The 23,989-nt window shown below is 37.7% G+C and overlaps 1 protein-coding gene across 3 annotated transcripts in view; it reads right to left on the reverse strand.

The window, feature by feature from the left end:
* The window catches only part of VPS41 (VPS41 subunit of HOPS complex), a 186,218-nt gene that overhangs the window by 122,825 nt on the left and 39,404 nt on the right, over positions 1 to 23,989 (reverse strand). For all 3 annotated transcript variants that reach the window (XR_007060008.1, NM_080631.4, NM_014396.4), the window contains exons 3-4: positions 23,348 to 23,455; positions 16,747 to 16,824 (exon numbers count right to left, since the gene is read on the reverse strand). Coding sequence is in view for 2 of the 3 variants with exons in the window: in NM_080631.4 (NP_542198.2) it covers positions 16,747 to 16,824; positions 23,348 to 23,455 (186 nt within the window). In the remaining variant the exon portion in view is untranslated. The remainder of the gene's footprint in view (positions 1 to 16,746; positions 16,825 to 23,347; positions 23,456 to 23,989) is intronic.

Here is a 23,989-nt window from a genome sequence, read left to right on the forward strand (position 1 = left end):
ACCCCTGTGAAACAATCCACTTTACTGGAATACCATTGTTAAAGAGAATAAACTTTTCTTTCCGTATATAAGTAATCTGAAATGAAAGACAACTAAATTTTCAAAATGGTGACACATAATGTGTGAAATATGATTTAAAAATTATTTGTTCTTAAACCAAGTAAATATTTTCCTTGCTTATACATATATCCAACAAAGATACAAAAGAAAGAGTGATAGAGAAAGAAAAGCAGAATGACCAAGTCACTGGATTATTGCAAGGGAATAATGCAGAACAATTCAATAACTGCACTTAACAAAAAAGCAACTAATAGTACCAAACACCCAACATGATATAAAGAGAATTTAAAAAAAATGGCCTGAATACAAGGTGTTTGTGTAGAGTCTGTGACCCCAGTACTTTGAACACAACTCTATTTTATACTTCAACACATTACATTGCAAACCATTGTTTATATGGCAAGTTCCACAAGTGACTTGACTTAAGAGCAGGGTCTGTGTTTCATTAATGTAATATCCCTAGCACATCCTTTGAGACTGTTTGCTGAAGGAGTAAGAAGCAATTACTAAATGAATACCAAACACATACTCTTCTGCATGAGTCATCAAGGGCCATGTCACAGAGAAGATGACACCGATAATTTGCGTACGCAAAGACAAGAAAGTGCATTCCAACGAGAGCCAAAGAATGAAGTCTGGATACAGTGTAGGCGCAATGCAGGGGACCACTGTTACGACAGAAAGCAGAAGTCCTGAGTGCTGCCTAGAAGAGCTGTTTTATTCCACAGGCATCAAGGAGTCAGTCGAGTGTTTTCAGGGAGGGGAATAACAAAATCCTAGCACTGCTTTGGGAAGATTACTTGGGCAGCTGTGTGAAAAAGGGATTAGGGGAGACACAAGGCAGGGAGATCAGTTGGGTTTTACTGCAATAACCCAGGTGAGATTCAATAAAGACATGAACAAGGATGATGGCAATATAAAGAACCAGCAAAGGAAAGAATGAGCTAAAAGAAGCATCAAGAGGATATACGGGGAATAATGGAGGCAGATGATGGAGGATAAAACGTCACAGAGATGGAAGAAAACACTGAGGGTAGAAGAGAACAGGCCTTCTGAAGAGATAATATTCATCAGGAGTCTGGAAACACAGTCTTTGCAACTAGGCAAAGTATGACTTTTTCTTGGGCCCAATATTTAGATTAAAAAAGAGTAGGAGACTTCACCGTGTCTGGCCCAGTAGACCACACCAAAAAAGAAACAAGGACTTAAAAAGATAAGCTGTCAAATAATCAAAAGGGCTGTCCCACTGGCAGGACTTGGCTGGGAACAGTTCAGTGCTGTCTGTGGAGCCAGAACTCTGTGGAGAAGGGACAATCCCTTCCATTCACAAAACAGACATTTTCAAACATCATACAACCAAAATGATCTGAACTATTTTAAATGATAATTTAGCCTAGAAATAAACACTGATGTTTTAGTATCCAAATGGGTTTGGTAAAAAAAAAATACAGCATCCTCTAGTAGTTGGCCATACCCTTAAGATTCCTAGTCCACAGGGCATCTATCACTACAGTTCCAGAAAACAAAATTCTTCCTTTTTTCCCAGAGAACATTCCCTAGAGAGTGTAATGAATTTTTTTTCTCTAACAGTAAGGCAACAGAAATGGGGTTGTCATCGCTGAGACTATATAACTAAAAAGGAAATTATAAGTATGTTAATATTCTGTAAAATTAAGTCTTAGATCCTTAGGCTCAGATCCTTAGGCTACCCTAATCCTAAGGATCTGCTATGCCACACCTTTGAGAACAAACTCCACTAATAAAAGCAGCTAAAGAAAGCCAAACATATAGCAGACCCATGAAGGCTGCAGAGCTTTCTGAACATCTCAGCAGGGCCCATAAATATCCCTGTTTAAGTTCTCAATATACAAGTAAATGATACCATCAATGATAAAGGAAAAATCTGTTAGGAGTAAAGGTGTGTTCTTATTTTTCTCACTTTTATTTTTGATTTAATGATAGCTGCAGCAATGCTAATGCATTCTATTTATCTAAAATCTAAACATTTGAGAGAGTAAAGCCCTTGTTTTCCACATTAGTAAAGTCACTTACCTAAAAAGGGTGGGTAGTACAAATAATTTAAATAACTGAGACCAAGTTATTAACCAAAGAGAAAATGCCTAATTTATTTTTCCAACATATGACGAAGAAAGACTACTTAACACTTCACAAATTTGACTCTACTTCCACCACAGAAATTATTGTTATAATGCTCTCCAGTGTAAAAACACTGCTTTATCAATCCCCATTAAATCATTTTCCAAGCAGTCTCTCAAAACTTTTCAAAAGAAGCATCTTACAAGCCATGTTGCAATGTTGCTACATCGAAAAGACATTTCTGAAGTCAACTCACTAGACCTGCACTGGGATCGACTTCACACACCTAATTACTCAAGCTTAATAATGTTCTTAAAATACTATTTGTGTAATGTGATAAAAGATACCCACTCCTCCCAAATAAACACAGGAGCTGAGGGATAGGGAGGCAGCAAAATGGGTGTAAGAATGGGTGTGTCGCAGAAGCTTCTCTTTTTTTCCCCTTCGTTTTTCTTTCTTTCTTCCCTACCTCCCTTTCAGTTTGCCTACCCCATATACAATTGAACATTATTAAAGCCAAACATATGAATAAATTCAAAAATAATAGTTCTTCAGGAAGTGTAGTAAACATGTTCAGTTGGACTCTTAGCTTGATCCACCTTCTGATAACGACTAATGTTTACTAAGCCTTATGTTACATATTTTACATGTATTCGTTCATATAATTCTCAAAACCATCATTGAAATCAGGTGTGATTATGATCCACACTTTACAGATGAAGAAAGTGTGGTAACACACCAAACTAATGAACGTGTGGCAGGGCTGGCTGGCTGGCGTCTGACCCCAAGCCTGGCCTGCGTGCAGTGCTGCCACCTCCAGAACCCGTCAACCATCCTTCTGCTGGACATTACCGCCCCGCCAGAGTTTCTTCTCTAATCATTATATCACCACTGCTCTTTCTACATCCAATCTGGGATAGTAGATTCCACTAATGCAATGGGGTCAAGGGCTGGACAGGAGCTAAGGAAAGAAAATGGGAAATCAGTAGGTTCAAGGGACTCATTTTCGTGTAATTTTTTTTCTGGCAAGGTAAGAACTTCAGTATCTGTCACAATATCAAGGAATAAATTCTTCTCACAGTCCAGTGAGAATTTTTTTTTCTTGAGGAAAAGTGAAGACAATGTAAAAAGCAAAACTTTAAAACTTTAGAAGGACATACAAAGAATATTGAAACAGGAAAAGTTCCCTCATCTCCTTCACAGGGCATGTGATGGGAGTGTGGCTCACTTCTTCGGTGCCCTGCTGCTCAAACCCCTAGGAGGAACATGCAGATGGGTGGGCTGTGGTGCTCCTGACCCCACGGCAGCATCTAGGGGTGAATGTTTAAGCTTCTGAAGCCCCAGTGGGGGTGTGTTACAGGATGCTCTTTTAGTTTAGCCTTCTGTAGGTGGCTTGTGTTAGTCAGCTCAATCAGACCCCCTGCTTTATAGCAAGGACAAAGGGCTTTCTGTATCCTAGGGTTTCTTGCCTTGAATCAGATCACACCTGGGCTTGGAGAATTACTGCAAGGTTTTATTGAGTGGTAGCTCTCAGCAGATGGGGGAGCCCGAAAGGAGACAGTTTTCTCCTGAAGTCTGGCCGCTCAGTAGCCCGGCCTCTCCTCCAACCTCCCAGGCCAAACTCTGTGTTGTTCTACCAGTTGATGGCCTACCAGCGTGCCGGTGTCTGCCGGTGCCTGCTGGCATGCTCTTCAACCAATGTGCTCCTCTCAACATCCCGCTTGTGTGTTCTTCTGCTGATGTGCTCCTCTGGACGTCCAGCTGCTTGTGTCTCTGCCCACTAGGGCCTCAGGGGTTTTATAGGCACAGGATGGGGTGTGGCAGGACAGGGTGGTCTTGGGAAATGCAACATTTGGGCAGGAAAACAGGAATTCCTGTCCTCACCTGGGTCCTTAGGTATAGGCCCAGGGGTGGAGCCCTAGCCAGAGACACACCCTTCCCTTCCCAGCACTTCCTTGCCCCCCTTCCATATCTTTACAACTTTGTAGAAGCAAAATACAATTTTCCCTTAGAAGACACAAAACACACAAACTGTAAATGAGAAGACTGATACATATTTACTGCATTAAAATAAAAAATTTCTGAACCTAAAACACCATAAATGGGAAACTGAAAGATAAGCCCACAGACTAGCAGACATTTGTCACTCTTCAAATAAGAAGTTGTGTCCAAACTTTCTATGCCTTCCACCCTGGAGGACAGCTCCCTATTCCCTGTCCCAGCACCAGGATCTGGTATTGATCAGACTTTTAAATGCTTTGCCAAGTTGATGGTTATAAAATGGTACCATATTGTCTTACTTCACATTTCCCTTATTATTCTGTGTTACTAAAGAAATCAAGGGTCTTTTCACATGGCTACTGGGCATTTGATGTTCTTCTGAGAAGCACCTGTTCATGTCATTTGCCCAATTTCATTCTGAGTTGTTTGGGTTTTCCTTATGGATCTGTAAGAGTTCCTTATGTAGGTAACATTTTAACAAAAATATATATACTCTTAAAACTTGGTACAAACACCTTCTAATTAAGCTTTTAAATAACTTAAAGATCAAAACGAGTGTACAAGCAAATGAAAAAAATTTCAGATTTAAAATATTGAGTGTGAAAGTCAATGTCTCCCTAAAAGCAAATCGTAGTATTTCATTTAATAATAGGAAGACTGGTAAGTATTAAATTTGACTTGGTAGCGACTTAATTCTTCTGATTTTGAGCCATCACATGAGCCACCCCTGATCAATGTTATTTCTGCTTGTAAACAATGAATTTTTTAATTACAAATCAATTTAGAACTTTACACATATACTGGCAAAGTATATAAACTAACACTTCTCAAGAGTAAACAGCCTCATTAGTAACCAGAAAAATACAAACTAAATTGATAAATTCCCATTTTCTAGAAATCTAAGTGGCAATGAATTTTCAAATAACAACAGCCAACACTGGTGATGCGATATAATGATAAACTCTCAGACTGCTGGCAGGAACATATTTTGGTATAACCTAACTGCAGGGAAATGTAGCAATCTGCAATAGAACCCTAAAAATGTTTACAGCATCTGTCCAGGTGATTTCACCTCATAGAACTTATTCAAAGGACAGAGTCAGTAACAAGATCCCCACCCCACCCAAAGATTTCACATCACTCACTATGTGTACAGGACACTGAAAAGTTGGTTCCTGGGCAACTTAAAGCAGTAACAAACCTGCTATTTTCTGTAAGAAACTCCTTCTATATAATTAGGGTAGAACTCACACACATGTCTGCCACTGAGCAATGAAAAGTGCCCTGAGTAATATATTAATTTTTTTCCACATCAGTAAAGTGAAATCAGATTTTTAGATTACCCCATAGGGCATTTAATTCTTTTCCTCTGAGATGAAACTCCAGGCAACCACTGATCTGCTTTCTTTGACTACAGATTTGTTTGCATTTTCTAGAATGTTATATAAATGCAAATGTTATAATATGTAGCCTTTTGAATCTGCCTTCTTTTACTTAACACAATAGAGCTGAGATTCATCCATGCTTAGCACGGATCAATAGTTCATTCCTTTTTATTTTGAGTTGAATGACCATTGTTTAGATATACCACATTTTGTCTCTCCATTCACCTGCAAATGGACGTATAGATTGTTTCCAGTTTGGGACTATTACAAATAAAACTGATATGCATATTCATGTAGAAATCTTTGTAGGAGTATATTTTTTCATTCTCTAAGTTTAGAAAGGGTGGAATGTATGATAGGTGTATGTTTCATGTTTTAAAATTTTGCCAAACTGTTTTCCAAAGTTGTTACACTATCGTACATCCACCAGCAGTGTATGAGAGTTCTAGTTCCTCCACATCCTAACCAATACTTGGTATGATTAGTCTTTGTAATTTTAGCCATTCTAAAGGTATATTTAGTGGTATGCATTATTCCATTTTAATTAGTTTTAATATGATTTTTTCCTTGCTATAAATTAAACTTAAAAAAAGCTAAAGTGTTAACATTTAATAGCTGCCCATGGAAATAATGAAATTCATCTTAATAGAAGTATAAAATAAAGACTGGGCAACCAAATGACAAGAATGTTGTGGAAGTATAGCCGCACCAGAACAACATGGTTCAACTTCTGGGTGACAAAGTTGTGCGTTTTCAGTTGCCATGGACCCTCAGCTCATGTAACCTGAGCATGCCCAGATGAACCAAGCATGCAACCACAGGGGGAATCTAAGAGCAGGATGAATTAAGAAGCGAACACCACCTAACAGGATCCAGGATCCAATCAGATGGAGCTCTAGCATCACCCCAAGTCAGGATCCAGTAAGATCAGACCTCCCGGCATCACCTCATTGCAAGATCCAGTCAGATCACACCTCATTATCATATGCTTATAAAACCTGACCCAGTCCCCAGCTCCGGGAGACACTGCTTTGAGAACTATCCCTGGTGTTCTCCCTACTTGTTACAAGCAATAAAATCCCTTTACTAAATACTAAATCTTACTAAATCTCCTTGGTTGTGGTCATTGGGTTGATACCTAGCCCAACAATCAAACCAACCTCTTGTGTGGGTAACAAGAACTTCATGTCTTGAGTGGCTAGATGAAAAATATCCATTAAGTATTCAACTATCCTAATATATCATGATCCTATTAAATGAAAAACATTAGAAATTATAGCCAAATAAATAAGTTCTAGAGCAGGTGAATAAAACAAAGCTACACAAACAGAAAAACAGAGCTTGTTTAAGAAAGAAGTATACACTACCATTTTGAAGTATACCCTGTCATGGTTCCCAGAGACTAAGAAGTCTATTATTAACAAAACAAACTCAAGCTTAAAATTATTTATTGTTAAACCATATGCACAGACACTCATACTTTATCCACATATCTGGTCCATGACATCCGATTTACCATCATCCTTCTGGTTCATTTAGTTCCCTAAATACTCTGAACTCCAAAGTCAGTCACCACAAAGACACTCCCTTGAAAACACTCCATTCTTTTTCCTTTGGTCCTTTGGCTAAACCTGCCAAATAATTTGCTCCTATTGCATCTCACCATCCATTCTTTCCTCTCCACTCCCCTACTCCCAAGATACTACTAGATAATTAACACAATATACATGAAGACAAGAAGTCCATGGTAAATGTTCCTCACCCTTTGGTGATTCCCTGTTTCATAAGAAGAATGTGGCCGGGTGCGGTGGCTCACGCCTGTAATCCCAGCACTTTGGGAAGCCGAGGTGGGCGGATCACAAGATCAGGAGATCAAGACCATCCTGGCTAACACAGTGAAACCCCATCTCTACTAAAAATACAAAAAATTAGCTGGGCATGGTGGCTGGCACCTGTAGTCCCAGCTACTTGGGAGGCTGAGGCAGGAGAACGGCATCAACCTGGGAGGCGGAGCTTGCAGTGAGCTGAGATTGCGCCACTGCACTCCAGCCTGGGCGACAGAGCGAGACTCCTTCTCAAAAAAAAAAAAAAAAAAAAAAAGTATCACTGTCTTAACTCCACTCTAACAACCTGGAAAATACACATTCACCTTTCCAGATTCACCTCAAATTTCACTTTCTACAGGTTCCCTGTCTCCCAACTGCAAAGGTGGAGATTCCTCCCCTAGGTCTACACCTTATTCATAATCCTTTTAAAGCTCTTACTTTGCAATAATGGCCTTGAACCCCAAAGAAAGAACCACCAGAACTGAGAGTACCCTGTACTGAAGAATGAAATCCAAAGGCTTCAGACAACTAAGCCCCAGTCTACTACCCAATTCAGAGTCATGTTCCACAAAGTTAAAATTACTTCAACCCTGACTTTGAAATATGTGAAATACCAGGGTAATTTCATTCAGTGAAGGAATATTTTCAGTTTTAGCTATTTAAGGGATATTTGCCTAAATGTAGTTACCACTGAAGGGTCAGATGTTAAAACATTCAGTAAGTATGACACTTTACTCTAAAAGAGAGAAGCATCCTTAATTCTGACCATGTTTTCTTAGCCACTTTGGTGCGTAGAAGCCATCAAAATTATCAAGTTATCTATAAATACTTAACCCACAAACTTGAGATTATTTTTTAATGCAGACAACTGGAAATATGACTTGCCTTGGCATCATTTATCAGAAGTTAGAATGATTTCCATTTAAGTAATTTTCAATTCCTTTGACACATCTCTTATCACTCAAAATACGGGGTTCAAATATAGAAAACAAGTTCTTTAAACACACAAGAATCTGAGACCTGTCAATCAGTCTTAAACAAGTATTACAGGCACTGGCACACTTGAGCCAACAATGAACCACTTTGATCATATCAAAAAGATACATGCCCTGCTTGCCAATTAATGATGCCACATCTAGAACAGCATACTACAGATGGTATTTGCTTCAGGTCGATAAGTGAGTACCATTAGACCAAGAGTAGAGCAGGGTTCTTTGTTCAAGGATACATAGCTTAAGTTTATAGATCTGCTCCAAAGATTCTTTCAATGAACAGTCACCCAACATCACACTGGCCACATTATGAATAAGCCCAAAAGAGTTAGGCTGTTTAGGTGAATAATGAATGTATGGCATCTGTATTAACTGTCAAAGAGATGGTCATGGCCATACAATTTCCTATAATGTACACACAATAATCCTGATATGGGAGAGGAAGGTATGAAAAAAACCTTGATTATCTGGAAAATAGTCTAAATATGTGAAACTGCAGATTTGGAACTATGGATTAGTTCAGCGAACTTCTATCAATTTCTTATTTCTATCAGTTCACCAGCTTTTATGTTGAGCACTGATGATGCAGAGATAAATTACACAAACTGTCCTCAGGAAATTAGCATTCTATGTGGAAAATGACATTGAGGCATATAATTGTGACAAAAGTACCGTACGTTCAAGAAGTGGAGAAAAAAAAAAAAAGCAAAGTGGAGGTAACACAAAGAAGGAGATGGTTAAGCCATGTAAAGGATAAAAAAAAAAAGTGGGCCAGGCGTGGTGGCTCACACCTGTAATCCCAGCACTTTGGCAGGCCGAGGTGGGCGGATCATGAGGTCAAGAGATCGAGACCATCCTAGCCAACATGATGAAACCCTGTCTCTACTAAAAATATGAAAACTAGCTGGGCATAGTGGCACATGCCTGTAGTCCCAGCTACTTGGGAAGGCTGAAACAGGAGAATCACTTGAACCTGGGCGGCGGAGGTTGCAGTGAGCTGAGATTGCGCCACTGCACTCCAGCCTGCTGACAGAGTGAGACTCCCTCTCAAAAAAAAAAAAAAAAAAAAAAGGTGTTTGTGAATACTAAAAATGAAATTTAAGCAGCTTAAAGGAACACTGAATCTTCACGATGATACTGTCAAAGAGAGAGGAGAGAAGGAAAATGATCATTTCTTTTGCTGAAACATGAAAAAAGAGATGGGTGATCCTCCAGACACTCATACATCAATCCAAAGCAAAGAGAAAAGAGGAGCTGATTTATATTAGAAATAAATTCTTCGCAGCCAAAGAAAGCAACAAAAGGTCAGCAATACAGTCCAAAAGATGGTCGAGTCCCAAAGTCCAGGGAGAAAAATGAAACCATCATCACTCACAGATGAGGAACCAGTCACAAAAACATGTTTTGAAACTCAGGTTAGGGAAGTGCCCTAATAAGAATGTTTCGCTACATAAGGGAGGTCTTGAATGTACAAGGAGATAAGGGTGGAAGAGTAGTGGGCATGGAATACATAACCAGAACAGCTCAAGCCCAATTTACACACTTCCTTCCCTGATACCGTTTGCATCTGGAATGATCTTTTAAAGTCTCTTTAGCTTCTAAACTTTGATGACTTTATACATTACCCATAGCAACTAGAAAATGTATGAGTATATATTAAAAACTTAAATACTGCTGAACATAAGGGTTACTTTCCAAAAGTAAGATTTAAGACTCTGATCTTATATTAGTCAGCTTGAACTGCCATAACAAAATATCATAGAGTGGCTTAAACAACAGAAATTCTCCTAGTTTTGGAGACTGGAGGTCCTCAATCTGCCAGTATGGTCACATTCTGGTGAGGGTTCTCTTCCTGGTTTGCAGACAGCCTTCCCGCTGTGTCCTTATATGGCCGGCAGGAAGGGGGAGGAAGGGAAGGTCTCTCCTGTCTCTTCTTATGTTGGCACTAATCTCATCTTGAGGACTCCACCCTCATGACCTCATCTAAATTGTTTTTAACTTGTTTTTGTTTTTAAGAGACACAGTCTTGCTCTGTCAACCAGGCTAGAGAGTGCAGTGGTGCAATTATAACTCACTGCAGCCTAGAACTCCTGGGCTCAAGTGACCCTCCTGTCGTAGCCTCCTGAGTTTACACCATGCCTGGCCCTCATCTAAATTTAATTACCCCCCAAGTCCCCAATTCTAAATACCATCACATTGAGGGTTAGGACCTCAACATATGAATTAGGAGGTGGGGAAGAATTCAGTCTACAGTAGCTCTCAGTATAAAATTTCTAATTATACATCCAATGGACAAGTGAAGGTAGAATAATACACAGGAGAACAGAGAACCAGCTCCCAGAGGCCTCCTGAAAGGTAGTAACAGAAAATCACCAGTTCCATGGTTATGTTTCAAAACAATATTATCAGCCAATATATACTTACTGGATACCAAACGGCAGCAGAGAAAAGAGAAAGGGTGGGGAAGAGGAGAGAAGTATACCAGGAGACATGGCAACTATCCTCCAAGACGTTAAATAGGAATGTGAGGCTGGTACTGACACTATGAGGGGCCACACTACAAGTGAAATAGTAGTAATATAGGAGTTTACAGGAAGGAAACACCTCAGGGCTACAATCCAGGGGAAGTACCTTGCAGAAAGAATGGAGATTCACAGAAGTGTATTCTAGAGAGAAAAGAAGTCATCAAAAGCTTAGAAACAGGCAAGCCCATGGCAATATTTAGAAGGTAGTGAGCAGATAAAAATTACTAGAGAGGGAAGAAATTAAAACTAAGATTAGAAAGGTGGGTTTCACCAAATGATCAGGGTCTGGAATGCTTAGCTAGATAGTTAGGACTTGATGTGGGAAGTAACAAAGAACTGTGAAATGTTCTCAGAGACACAATGGTTAGATGGACAGAGGTCTGGGTTTTTATCAGCACATGAACACGAAAGGTATCAGCAACTAAGGAATACAGTCCATTAGTTTAATCTCAAATCAAAAACAGGAATAGAAATACCAATAGATTCTGCTACCTGACAAGGAGAATCATCAACCCACCTCTGCCTCAAGAGTTTAATTTCAAAAATTTGATATTTATCTTAACACAAAATGGCCACTAAGCTCCTGTTTTGTTTTAATCTCCTTTTTTTGTAATCATCCATTTTATAAATATTTATATAATGTCTCTTACTATAGTGCCTTACAGCAAAACCTCATCATTTTCTATTTCTAGCAAAGAAAGAAAAACACATAAAGGTGAACAGTAGAAATTTATGTTTGATCAGCAAGTTGTTTGCTCTCTCACTAGCACACTTAAAGGAATAAATATTTAAAACACATGGCATAATGCTCCTAAATATTTAACAGAGACATGGCACAATAATTTGATCACTGCTTCAACATAAGTACCCTTAATTAACAAGTTTTAAATTAAAATGCTTAAATAAATTGGAGGCTATTAAAGAAAAAGTAACTACAGTCATGCACTACATAACAACATTTTGGTCAACAAGAGACCACATATACCCACTGTTGACTAAAAAGCCAAATTGTAAAATACTCGAAGAGATTTATTCTGAGCCAAATGTAAGGACCATGACCCATGACAAAGCCTCAAGGGGTCCTCAGAACATGTGCCCAAGGTGGTTGGGTTACAGCTTGATTTTATGTTTTAGGGTGACATAAGACATCAATCAATACATGTGAGGTATATATTGGTTTGGTCCAGAAAGGTGGGACAACTCAAAGAGGAGATGAGAGGAAAGAGGGATGGTTTACAGGTCATAGGTAGATTCAAAGATGTTCTGACTGGCAACTGGTTGAAAGAGTTAAGTTATCAGCAGAAAGAATCAGCAGAAAGGAGTACCTGGGTTACGATAAGGAGTTGTGAAGACCAAGGTTCTTACTATGTAGAAGAAGTCTTATAGGTGGCACCCTTAGAGGTAATATACGGCAAACGTTTCCTATTCAGACCTTTAAGCTACTCTCTTCAGGATCAGAAAAAGACCTGGAAAGGGAAGGGGATTCTCTACAGAATGTAAATTTTCCCCAAAAGAGACAGCTTTGCACAGCTATTTCAAAATATGCCAAAGAAATATATATTAGGGCAAAATACTTTGACTTCTTTCAGGGCTTGCTATCTGTCATGTGATGCTATATTAGAGTCAGTTTGGAATCTGGTATCTTATTTCCTTTCACACTACAAAGAGTCTGTTTTGTCAGTCTTAAGATCTGTATCTTAATGTTAATGCCGGTCAGTTGTGCCTGAATTCCAAAAAGAAGAGAATATAATGAGGCATGTCTGACTCCCCCTTCCCGTCATGGCCTGAACTAGTTTTTCACGAATCCTAAGAGGAGTCCATTCAGTAGACTGAGGAGCTTAGAACTTTATTTTTGGTTTACACCATAGACTACAGTGGTCCTATAAGACTGTAATGCTTTACAAGCTATCTTTTCCTAAACATTTAAATAAAAAAAGATTATAATGGAGCTGGAAAATTCCTAACACTCTGTGTCACTGCAGCCTAGTAACAGCACAGCACAACATGTTACTCACGTGTCTGTGATGATGCTAGTGTAAACAAACCTAGTCAGCTGCCACTCATATAAAGTCTAGCACACACAATTATGTACTACATAATACGTGATAATGACAATAAATGACTATGTTGCTGGCTTATGTATTTACTATACTATATTTCTTATTGGTATTTAGAATATATTCCTCCTACTTATAAAAAAAGAAGTTACCCATAAAACAGCCTCAGGCAGGTCCTTCTGGAGGTATCAAGAAGAAGGCATTGTTATCACAGGAGATGACAGCTCCATGTGCGTTACTACCCCTGAAGGCCTTCCAGCAGGACAAAATGTGGAGGTGGAAGACAGTGATATTGATGATCCTGGCCCTGGGTAGGCCTAGGCTAATGTGTGTGTTTGTATCTTCATTTTTAACAAAAAGTTTTAGAAGTAAAAAAGAAAAAAAAAACTAAACAGAAAAGAGCTTATAGAATAAATACATAAAGAAATATTTTGTACATCTGTACAATGTGCTTGCTTTAAGGTGTGCTATTATAAAGTCAAAAGTTTTAAAATTAAAAAGTTTATAAAGTAAAAAAGTTACAGTAAGCTAAGGCTAATGTATTAGTGGAGAAAGAAAATGTTTAAATAAATTGAGTTTAGCCTAAGTGTACAGGGTTTATAATGTCTACAGTAGTGTACACTACTGTCCTAAGCCTTCACATTCACTCACTGCTCATTCACTGACCCACCCAGAACAACTTCCAGTCCTGTAAGTTCCATTCATGATAAGTCTCCTGTACAGATGTATCATTTGTCATCTTTTATACCATATTTTTATGGTATCATTTCTATATTTAGGTATGTTTAAATGCACAAATACTTGCCATTGTGTTCCAATTGCCTATGGTATTCAGGACAATAATATGCTGTACAGGTTTGTAGTCTAGAAGCAACAGGCTATACCATACAGCCTAAGTGTACAGTAGGCTGTACCACCTAGGTCTGTGTAAGTAGAGGCTATGATGTCTGCACAATGACAAAATTGCCTAACGCCACATTTCTCAGAATGCATCCCACTGTTAAACGACGCATGATTATACTATGATTAATGTGGTTATATGGGCATAAATATCGTGGGAATTTAAAAGGAATCTAAGATTTTATAAGAATTCTGAAGTCACGTTATTTTACTCTGAGTTAAGTAAAATTGCTTTAGCAATTAAGTTTTGAGTTAACATAAAGCTATATCTAGAAATAATCTCAAAAAACCATTTATGGCCAAAGTATTTGAATTAACATATGCTGAATATTCTTTCAAATATTCTGAAATCTGAGTATTAATATACATAATAAAGTATCACTCTAGCAGTTGTCATTCTTCAGCAACAAAAGATGGCCGTATAAAACAGAATCCTGTCAACCTTCTTATGTAACTGTAGAATATACAGCCATGGGAATAACCTCAGTGTCACGATTCATTTACAAAATGATCTCTGAACAGGATGTCAACCTAGGCAATTAGGTATTATTCAATATTGAGTAGCAGAAAGGGGTTGCTTCAACAAACAAGGAAAATTTGAGCACTGCTCAAGCTCAACCAAAGACATGTACACATGTATAGGTGCTTGTGCAAGTATGTGTGTGTTACTGAGGTACAACTTATATAGAATAAAGTACAAAGATCTCAAATGATAGCTTAGTGATTTTTACATATGTAGATCATGAGAAAACCACCAAGACAGTATTTTCAGCACTCCAGAAGACTCTTCTGTGCTCCCTCCCAGGTCAAACCATTATTTGAACTCTATTGCTATAGTTTAGTTTTGCTTTTTCTTGACCACCATATAGAAGTTATCAAACAACATGAACACATTTGGGTCTGGCTTCTTTGGCTCAACATTAAGTCTATAAAATTAATCTATCAATAGGCTGTTCTTTTTAATTTGCTAAGAATGCACCACAATTATCCATTCTACTATTGACGGACATTTGAGTTAGAGGCTATTAGGAATTAAGCTATTATTAACAATCTGTTTGTGTGTGTGTGTGTGTGTGTGTGTGTGTGTGTGTGTGTGTGTGTGGACATACGCATCGCAAGCATTTTTGTTGAATATGTACTTAGGAGTGCAAACTGCCAGGTCGTTAGGCAGACATACGCTTGGCTTCAGTAGATTCTGCCAATGATCACGAAAAAGCCATGGCCTAAAGAGAACTTTCAAAAACAGACTATCACCTTCTTGAGTAAGGTAAACAAACACACAAAAATAGCACCAAACTATCTTCCTCCCTTGCCAAAAAAAGGTGCAAAGCTATAGAGAGCTTAATTTTCAAAGATGTCATATAGTCAGGACTGAAAAAAGAACTGAAGAAAGATTTAGACAAATTTATGGATGATACTATAAATTACCTGAAAGAGGATGGATGTAGGATATACTCGACATAAAACAGACATGAAAGAAGATATAACTGAAGGTTTATACTGAATAGATACAAGGACTGACTTTTGGCAATGGAACCAATGGTATATGTCCATGAACCTTAGCAAGCAAACACTGCAATTTCTATTCAATATCAAAAAGACAGAAACAGAGTGTCAGGGACTCATTTAATGGGAGTAGGAAATGTAAGAAACCACACAGTCAATCTTTTTTAAAGGTGAGGGGGCACGCACAACACCACAAAAACGACACCTGGCCCAGTACCAGGTACACATTTTAATGGATGGCAACTGAAATACCAAATGTTTTGGTCATCAAGATGCATGTCCAGTGTCCAGTGGGTAGAAGAGGGAAGGTCAAAAGTATATTCCTCTTGCCTCAAAGGGATTTGCCTGATGCATGAGTATGATTAGAGCACATAATTCCCTGTCTGTGTTGCTCCAAAGATTGTCCTCGTTCCAGGGTTCCATTTCTTTTCAGCAAAACAAGGCATCCCTTTTTCTTTCCCATACAACGTGTCAGCTTTAGAAACTGTAATCTCCTTTCTAAACTATATCAATAGATGGATATTTTGACAAGTGCTGATGCTTTCTTCAAAAAAGTAGTATTTGTCCCCTGAAATGATCACCTTTTTCATACCAAGTGGTTGTGTCATATTTACACAACCATGGAAGTTCTTGACACCTTTAAGGTACACCTTCACACCAAAATCAAGCTTCAAATTCAATAGTACCTTCATCCTCAATGATTCCAAATCACAATTAAAAAAGAAAGCCTGGTTCTTTGCTTTCAATCAATATAATCCCCTAACAGTCCAAGCAGCAAAACAGTCACATAAAATATTTTAGCTTTGTATATTTAGAAGAGAGAAACCGATCCAGCAAGGTGATCAATCAATTTTCAATTACATTTGGCATCTCAACAAGAAGACAGGGCATGTACTTACAACTGAAATTAGTCACTAAATGAGGGAGTTCATACTTTAAGGATTCCACAAACTTCCAGAGTATGTAAATTTGCACTATTATTCACTAAGAAAGCAGCATTTTTTTCTTTTAACAACAATTCACCTAGACATTCTACATTGTCACAATTTTAAAAGAATACAGGAGTATTCTAAATGCCCGAAATTAAAGCCAAATAGATGACTATAATTAAGTAAAGAATTTGCAATTAAATAGATGTATAGATTTTTACATGGAGTTTGCATATAAAAGATACCCAGTCAAAATATATAATGCATGTATCTAGACCCCTTTCTTTATAAGTTCACCTTTAAGTTTTCAGAATATATTATAAAGTTCAAATTTATACTCTTAGCACTCTGATTGAATTAATAAAGATCCTCTTTATGCTATTAAAACAAACTGGTAAACCAATATTCTAAAACACAAATACTTAACATGAAGTTTAGCTCATACATTATTTTATACAGAATACTTACTACATCAAACTTCTGAGTGATGTTCCCCTGGACATCAAGTAAATAAACCTTGCCATAATGTGTGCCCAATGCCAAAAACTGTAAGAAGAACAAAGAGGCCAGTTAATTAATTAATAATACTATTAATACACAAGTAGTAACAAAACCATTTTTAAAGACAAGATGCTTAATGCATAAATGATCTGCAATGTCTCAAAAGATATGCATGCCTTGGAGAAGGCTTGTTTCCAGCTTCTGGGAAATAACAGAACAGGGCCTATTTTATTGTGATAGTGCAAGCCAGCTGTCAGAATGACTCATGAGGACCCTCATCTACTGACAACTAATGGTGTGTATGCAGTCTATACACAATGCCTGATGGACTGAGGCAGTAAATTAAATGCAGCGGTGAAAACACGACCAACCTACAGTTGAACTCAAAGTGAGAAAAGAATGATTCAGAAACTCCCCCTAATTTATGGCAAATGTGTAAATCAGTGCTATCGCTTAAGCTGCACACATACACAAACAACAAATTATTTTTTCGAATGGAAAATCCATGCCATATTGAGAGACCGAAAATCTCAGGTGTACTTATACCATCAGTTAGCTTTAGGATGCTTCTATAAAAGTTAATATATAATGTTGAGTGTTAATGTTTATATTATCATGCAAAATAAAAACCCTTTTGTGTTATAAAATAACTGTCAAAAAATACTCATTTTATGTCGTAAGTCCTACTGTTTCTTTAATTCTCTGAACTAACCTTAAGTAAACCAGAAGAAACTTTAGGACTACCTGAAATATGACATGAGAGTTTTCTTCCTTTTTATTTATTTCAGCATTACTCAAATAGTCCAAAATTCTCTGTATTTCATTGCATGTGAGCATGCTTCATTGCAACCCATAATGAAACGCTCAAATTTACAGGCACTACTAAGTGTTTCAGTCAAGCAGCACAATCTTTAAAAAATAACCTTACAGAAAGTCAAGATTTAAAAGGATTTATCAAAATGGAATTGCTTAAAATGAAATTTCAGTTCAGGCACTTAAAATATGAAGCTACATTAAAGAGGAGTCACAAAAAGGGAAAGAAGGAGTTCATTAGAAATTCATCCCCTGCAATGCCTTTCACTCCTGCAAGGTTGCCTTTTTTCAGGAAGAAAAAAGTCCCCAGGGTAAAAAAAATCAATACTGGTTAATAAAACATCAGGTGTGCAGACATAACTAGGTATGACGATTCCGCTGCACAGGCCTGCCTGAATGCACCAGGTGCCATGACGATTAGTCATCCAGGGCAGACAGCAAGCCTGGTGAAAACACAATGCTTGGGCGCTGGAAGGGAAAGGGGAAACAGGTAATTCTGGGGGGAAATTAGTCTGAATAGTTAAACCAAACAGGAATGTTTCCTCCAAAGCAAAAGAATGTTCTAATCAGAAACAGAGAACTCAAATGATTGTAATTTTACCTCTACAGTGACACTGACAATATTTAAATAGAAAAACACCACATACGATAAGAATTGAAAACAATACTCCATTCTGAGGCTATCTGTGGTAAAAGAATGGGTCTTAAAAGCTCACTGCTCCCCAAGTATTTCACAATATTGATTCTCCTCATAAATACCGTATTTAGTTTGTTAGGAAACTAAGGGAGAAGGGAGCTTGGATCTTTAAAACGCTTTAATGCTGCCATTCTCTGACACCTCTGTAAAGGCCACTTTTGAACTTCTAATTACATTTTATTTTATGGAAGTCAGAAGTTTTATGTAATTTACCCAAGTTTTAATTCCTTCCCTTCTTTTTTCTAAATTTCTCATTTCATTCATTTAATCTTTAAAATAGAAAGAAAACATAAAATAATTATTTTGACTTTACAGTCTCATCCTAAAACTAAAACTATGTTAGAACATTTTGGAAAAAAAAGATTCAGTGATTTTTATGACAAGCTATCTTGTGTTTAGGAAAACATTTCATTATCAGATTAGATAAATTAGTGTTATCCACTTTTAGAAATATATACTCTTCAAAAAAAGTTTACTAAGCCAATTATAGTTATTTAACTACCAATATTATGGATGAGTCATATTTTCATCATTTGCTAATACTTTCCACTACTTAAAATATAACAAAAAATGCAAAATGGCCACAAATGTGACAACATAAATACAAATTCTCAAATTTTACCCACCTTCCAGCCATTAAAAGCCTTGAACTTTTGTAATTATTGAGTTTTGTTTCTTTTTTTTTTTCACCTGAATGTACTTAAAATTCAAGATGGGCAAAGAATAAATATAATTTCACTAGACCCTTTCATGTTTAATTACAGAAACTTGACTCATTTTCTATACTACCAGATTGGGCATCATCCACTAAGCACAACTGCTTTTACCTTAAACTTCATGTAAGTAACTTAAGTAACTGATAAATGTACATCCATAAAGACTGGACTTTATGTAAGGAAACAAGCAGAAAAGGTGATAAGCAGTCCTTTGGACAATGCAAAGGAAACAAGAGTAGTCCATTTTAAATCTGGTCAACTGTCTAATATCATCTACCTTCACATAGTGTTTTATAGTATTCAAAGCATTACAGCAGGGAGTGCCTTCAATTACACATGAGGAAATAAGCTCAGAAAGTTGATGAGACTTCCCTGGAAACAGTCGATGAGTAGCAGAATTAGGATCAGAATTAAAAGCTAAAACACTCAACTGGATCAGAATCCTCTTAAATAGAAACATGGACTTCAGATAAAGAGTGCATGTTCTAAAAGTTAGCATTGATTACAGTTCCCAAACATCAGGCTCTTTGGCAAAGTTGGTTTACGTACAATGTTAATGAAGTTTGACCTCTAGGCAGGCAAACTTTGTTCTCCATTTCATTCATTCACTGGTTCATTCAACAAACACACACAAAAAAAAACACTCTATAATACGCTTAGACAATGACCAAGTGTGACTTAAAAGGGTTATGGTATAATGAGGGAAACAGACATAAAAATGGATTAATTACAATTAAATTTAAAGAGAATGCTTAAAATGGAAGTATCTCTAAGACCCTATGGAACATAGTAGATGACAGCTGTGCTGAACTTTAAAAAAGAAATTAGAAAATAGACACCAAGGCAGACAGGGTAGGCTTGTAGTAAAAACCATTTTAGGCAGAGTGGCTACAACTTGCTCAAAGGCACAGAGACACATAAAATGCAGGACAAAGTCAAGAAATTATGGATGACACATCTAATTCATGCCCAGGGGAAGAGACAGGTGATAAGGTTGGAAAGGTCAGCTAATAAGAGGCATTCAAATATTTATGGAGAGATGAAAGGCAGGAAAGTAGAGGAAATCAGGGTGGGAAGGCCCAAATCATTAAGTCATCAAGAAGCCAATAAAGAATTCTAAGAAGGAGGATTACATGATCAGGTTGAGGTTTCTGGAAGATTACTTTAGTAGAATGTTATGAACAGACTAGAGTGAAAGCAAATCTGAAGGAAAATAGACAAGTTCACAGTATGTGCATTAGTTCCCAGGAAAAATAAAGAATACCTGAACAAAGAAAAGAGCTCCAGATGTGTGTGGATCAAGCAGAATGTGGTGTTGTGAATAGAAACAGCCAAGTGTTGTGGCCAGAGCACCACACTTATGGCAGAAAGTGGTTAAGACAGAAGCCAATAATAGACAGGGAGCAAGATCTTAGAGAGCCTTAGATACAACATTAACGAGCTCAGGTCTTATTTCGTAGTTGATGAAAAATCATACAAGAGTTTTAATATCTGTATTTTCAGCAGATTATTCTGGCAACCAGGTGGCAGATGGGTTTAAAGTAGAAAAATTAGAGGCACAAGAGATTCTTTTATTTACTCTGTGGAGGCAGTAGAAGATAAGAGCCTAAGCCAGAGCAAGAGTAGTAAGAAAATCACCAGGACTTAGCAAATGGCTGGGTGAAAGCAGAGGATTCATCCGTGGCTTAGGTGACAAAGGAGGTGGTGATGCCACCAAATGGGATAAAGAACAAAGATAGATCCAAGTTTAGAGGGAAATGAAAATGAATTCATTATGGACATGCTGAGGTTCAGGAAAAAAGACAACAGCAGATAAAGATGTTTAAGAGGCAACTAAGTAAATATGCATGCTATTCCAGTGAAGGTCAGTGTGCAGGTGGTCACAGAAATCCTGAGATTTAAAACCAAGATAAAGTATAAATTAAGAAGAAATGTGGATAATGGACCAAATCCTAGGAAAGCCAACACGTAAAGGAAAAGTGGAGGCAAACAAAGGAAAGTGAAAGAAACAGAAAGGAATGTCACAAATGATCAATAGGAAAAGAATGGTGTCACGATAAAGAAGTTTTGAGAAGAAAGGTGAGATCCAGAATTTAGAATCAGCAAAATGTCCATCAGCTGATGAATGGATAGACAAAACATGGCATACCTATACAATGGAATACTGTTCAGCAAAAAAAAGGAATGAAGTACTGATACATGCTACATCATGAATGAACCTCAAAATCATTACATTAAGTGAAAGAAACCAAACACAAGAGATCAAATAATGTTGACTGCATTTACATGAAATACACCAAAATAGGCAAATCTATATAGATACGAGGTAGATTTCTGGTTACTTGGAGGTAGCATTAGGTATGTTCCAATATATAGTATGCATCTCTGGGAAACAAGGGAGGAAATGTGATGAAGTGAAGAACAAAAGATTCATGAATAGGAGAAAGAAAATCTGTGGGTGGCCAGGTGTGGTGGCTCACGCCTGTAATCTCAGCACTTTGGGAGGCTGAGGCGGGTGGATCACCTGAGGTCAGAAGTTAGAGACCAGCCTGGCCAATAGGTGAAACCCTGTCTCTACTAAAAATATAAAAATTTGCCAGGTGTGGTGGCAGGTGCCTGTAATCCCAGCTACTTAGGAGGTTGAGGCAGGAGAATTGCTTGAACCTGGGAGGCGGAGGTTGCAGTGAGCCCAGATTGCGCCATTGCACTCCAGCCTGGGCAACAAGAGTGAGACTCCATCTCAAAAAAAAAAAATAAATAAATAAAAGAAAGAAAGAAAATCTCCTGTGGGTAAGAATGGGTGTGAAAAAGAGGTCAGGAATTGAGGCTGTTCATACCTGACATTTTCAATCTTCTTACATAGAAATGACATCATCCTCTAAGAAAGAAGGGACAATGGTTCAGAAGAGGGCCTGAGGACTAAAGAAACTGACAAAGGACAAATAATTCAGAACAATTTTTAGTGACAACTTTACCTAGGTGTGTGAGTCTATACCAGCACATGGCTGCACTTGTCATGAAAGCACTAATTCAGGGTTGAGAGTATGGCTGAGGGGCACAACGGGAAGACAGGGATGTATGAGAACTGAAGATGCTGGTAAGATAGAGTTAGGATAATCAATCATTTCATAGACACAGAAAAATAAAAGAAAAAGAATGAAAGGATTAGAGATCAGGACTCCATAAAGTCATATAGCTTGTGGGAAAATGAGCACAAAAGCTTGAAGTATAACAAGGGTCAACAGAGAGTGTCACAGAGGCTAAGATCCTCAAGTTCCAGTGCTGACACCATCCAAAGTGTGGCCTTATCAATGGGGAGATGAAACAGAGAAGAGGTAAGGGTCACTGGAATGAAATTTGGTTGAAGAACTACAAGGCCAATATTCAATGAGTGAAGAAAAGGGACCAGAAGTTGGAGAATGGCAGCAATGAAAAGGGGTCGATGGCATTGCAGCCAAATGGCTGGCATCTCAAAGGAGAAGGTTGCTGGTAAAACATGAGAAAGCAGGCATACATTCTAATAAAGTGTTGGGGGTACAGGACTCTATTTACAATGAAACAAAATTTGAAGTAAAAAGGAACTGGGTGGGAAGCAAGCGGGAGGATGAGGCCAACTGCTAGTAACATAGGATAAAGCCAGGAGATGGATCAGACAAGAGCAGTTTGCTTTTTGTGGAAGGAGTAAAACTTACAAGGTCACAGGGAAGAAGAGAGCAATGGGTGAAGCTCCCTGCCCCCCAATATTCTGACTATGACACAAACTGTTTTGGTCCAAGAATAGGCTAACGGTGCTATCTAGTACTTACCCTGGACTCAGAAAGTTGGTGAGAGCTTTGTTACGGCAAGGACCCAGATGTGGAATAAATTCATTCATTCGTATAAGTAATAATTTGGGGCATTTCTACTATTCATAACACCTACAATGTAATCCCTTATACTTTCCAATAATAACTTAATAAAAGAATAACTTAATAAAAGAATAACTTAAAAGCACTGAGCTTCCCATTATTTCTAATCTTAACAGGTTCCTAATTGAATCCTTATAATTTGAGGAATTAAGTGAGCGACAGAGTTGCCAAAACCCGTTTCATATAAATCTTTGACTTTGATCACTGTCTACATTCTACTTAATACAGTCTTGGAGTGTGTTGTATGTGTGTGAATGGGCGCGTACACACATATAAAATATTTGGGGTTTTTTGTTGGCAAGGAGGAAGAGAGCAGTGGCAAGGAGACAGAATCACTGTAAAAAGCCACCACCAAAAACATCAGGACTCCAAAGCACAAGCAAATTTACAATGGAAACAATTTACAGAAGAATCCTCTGAAAGTGCTATCTTACCTTGTCATGGACTGTCATGCAGCTAGCTGCATCCTTCTGAAGTATTTCAGTTACCCCATTGGAAAGCCTTTCATACTTCAGCTTGGGTTCCTCTTCGCTCTCTTCTTCCTGCACAAACGGCAAAGAAAAATGACACCCGTCAGAGATTTATTTGTTTTGAAAACCTCAAAACACACTTCTTACGAGAGAACCAGAGATGGTTCCTTCAATGATGTTAATAATTCCAACTACAGCTAAAGGTTAAAATCTTCATATTTCATCTTGCCTAGGTATATCAATTGCTGTAACTTCACTGGTAAAATAAATTCAAAAGTTGAAAACAAGAGTATACAGACTTGGTGTTATATTGTCACTAACTTTACATGTTCAACCTTACTATTTGGTACGGCTTCATAAACTATTCTTAATCCTCACAGTTATGGAATAAAGTTAGTAATCAATATTTACTATAATGGCCTTGAATTAATAAATCAAGGAGAGTTGTAAAAATTATTATAATAATGATTCAGAGTAAGATTTTATTTTACTTCAATAAGTAATAGGAAACAAAAAGTTTACATATGGAGAACTGTGATGGCATAAAACTAGCCAAAACAGAAGTTCATAAAAATAATCTACTCATTGACATTAGCTAGAGGGTGA

The sequence above is a fragment of the Homo sapiens genome, chromosome 7 (assembly GCF_000001405.40).
Source record: "Homo sapiens chromosome 7, GRCh38.p14 Primary Assembly".
NCBI lineage: Eukaryota > Metazoa > Chordata > Mammalia > Primates > Hominidae > Homo > Homo sapiens.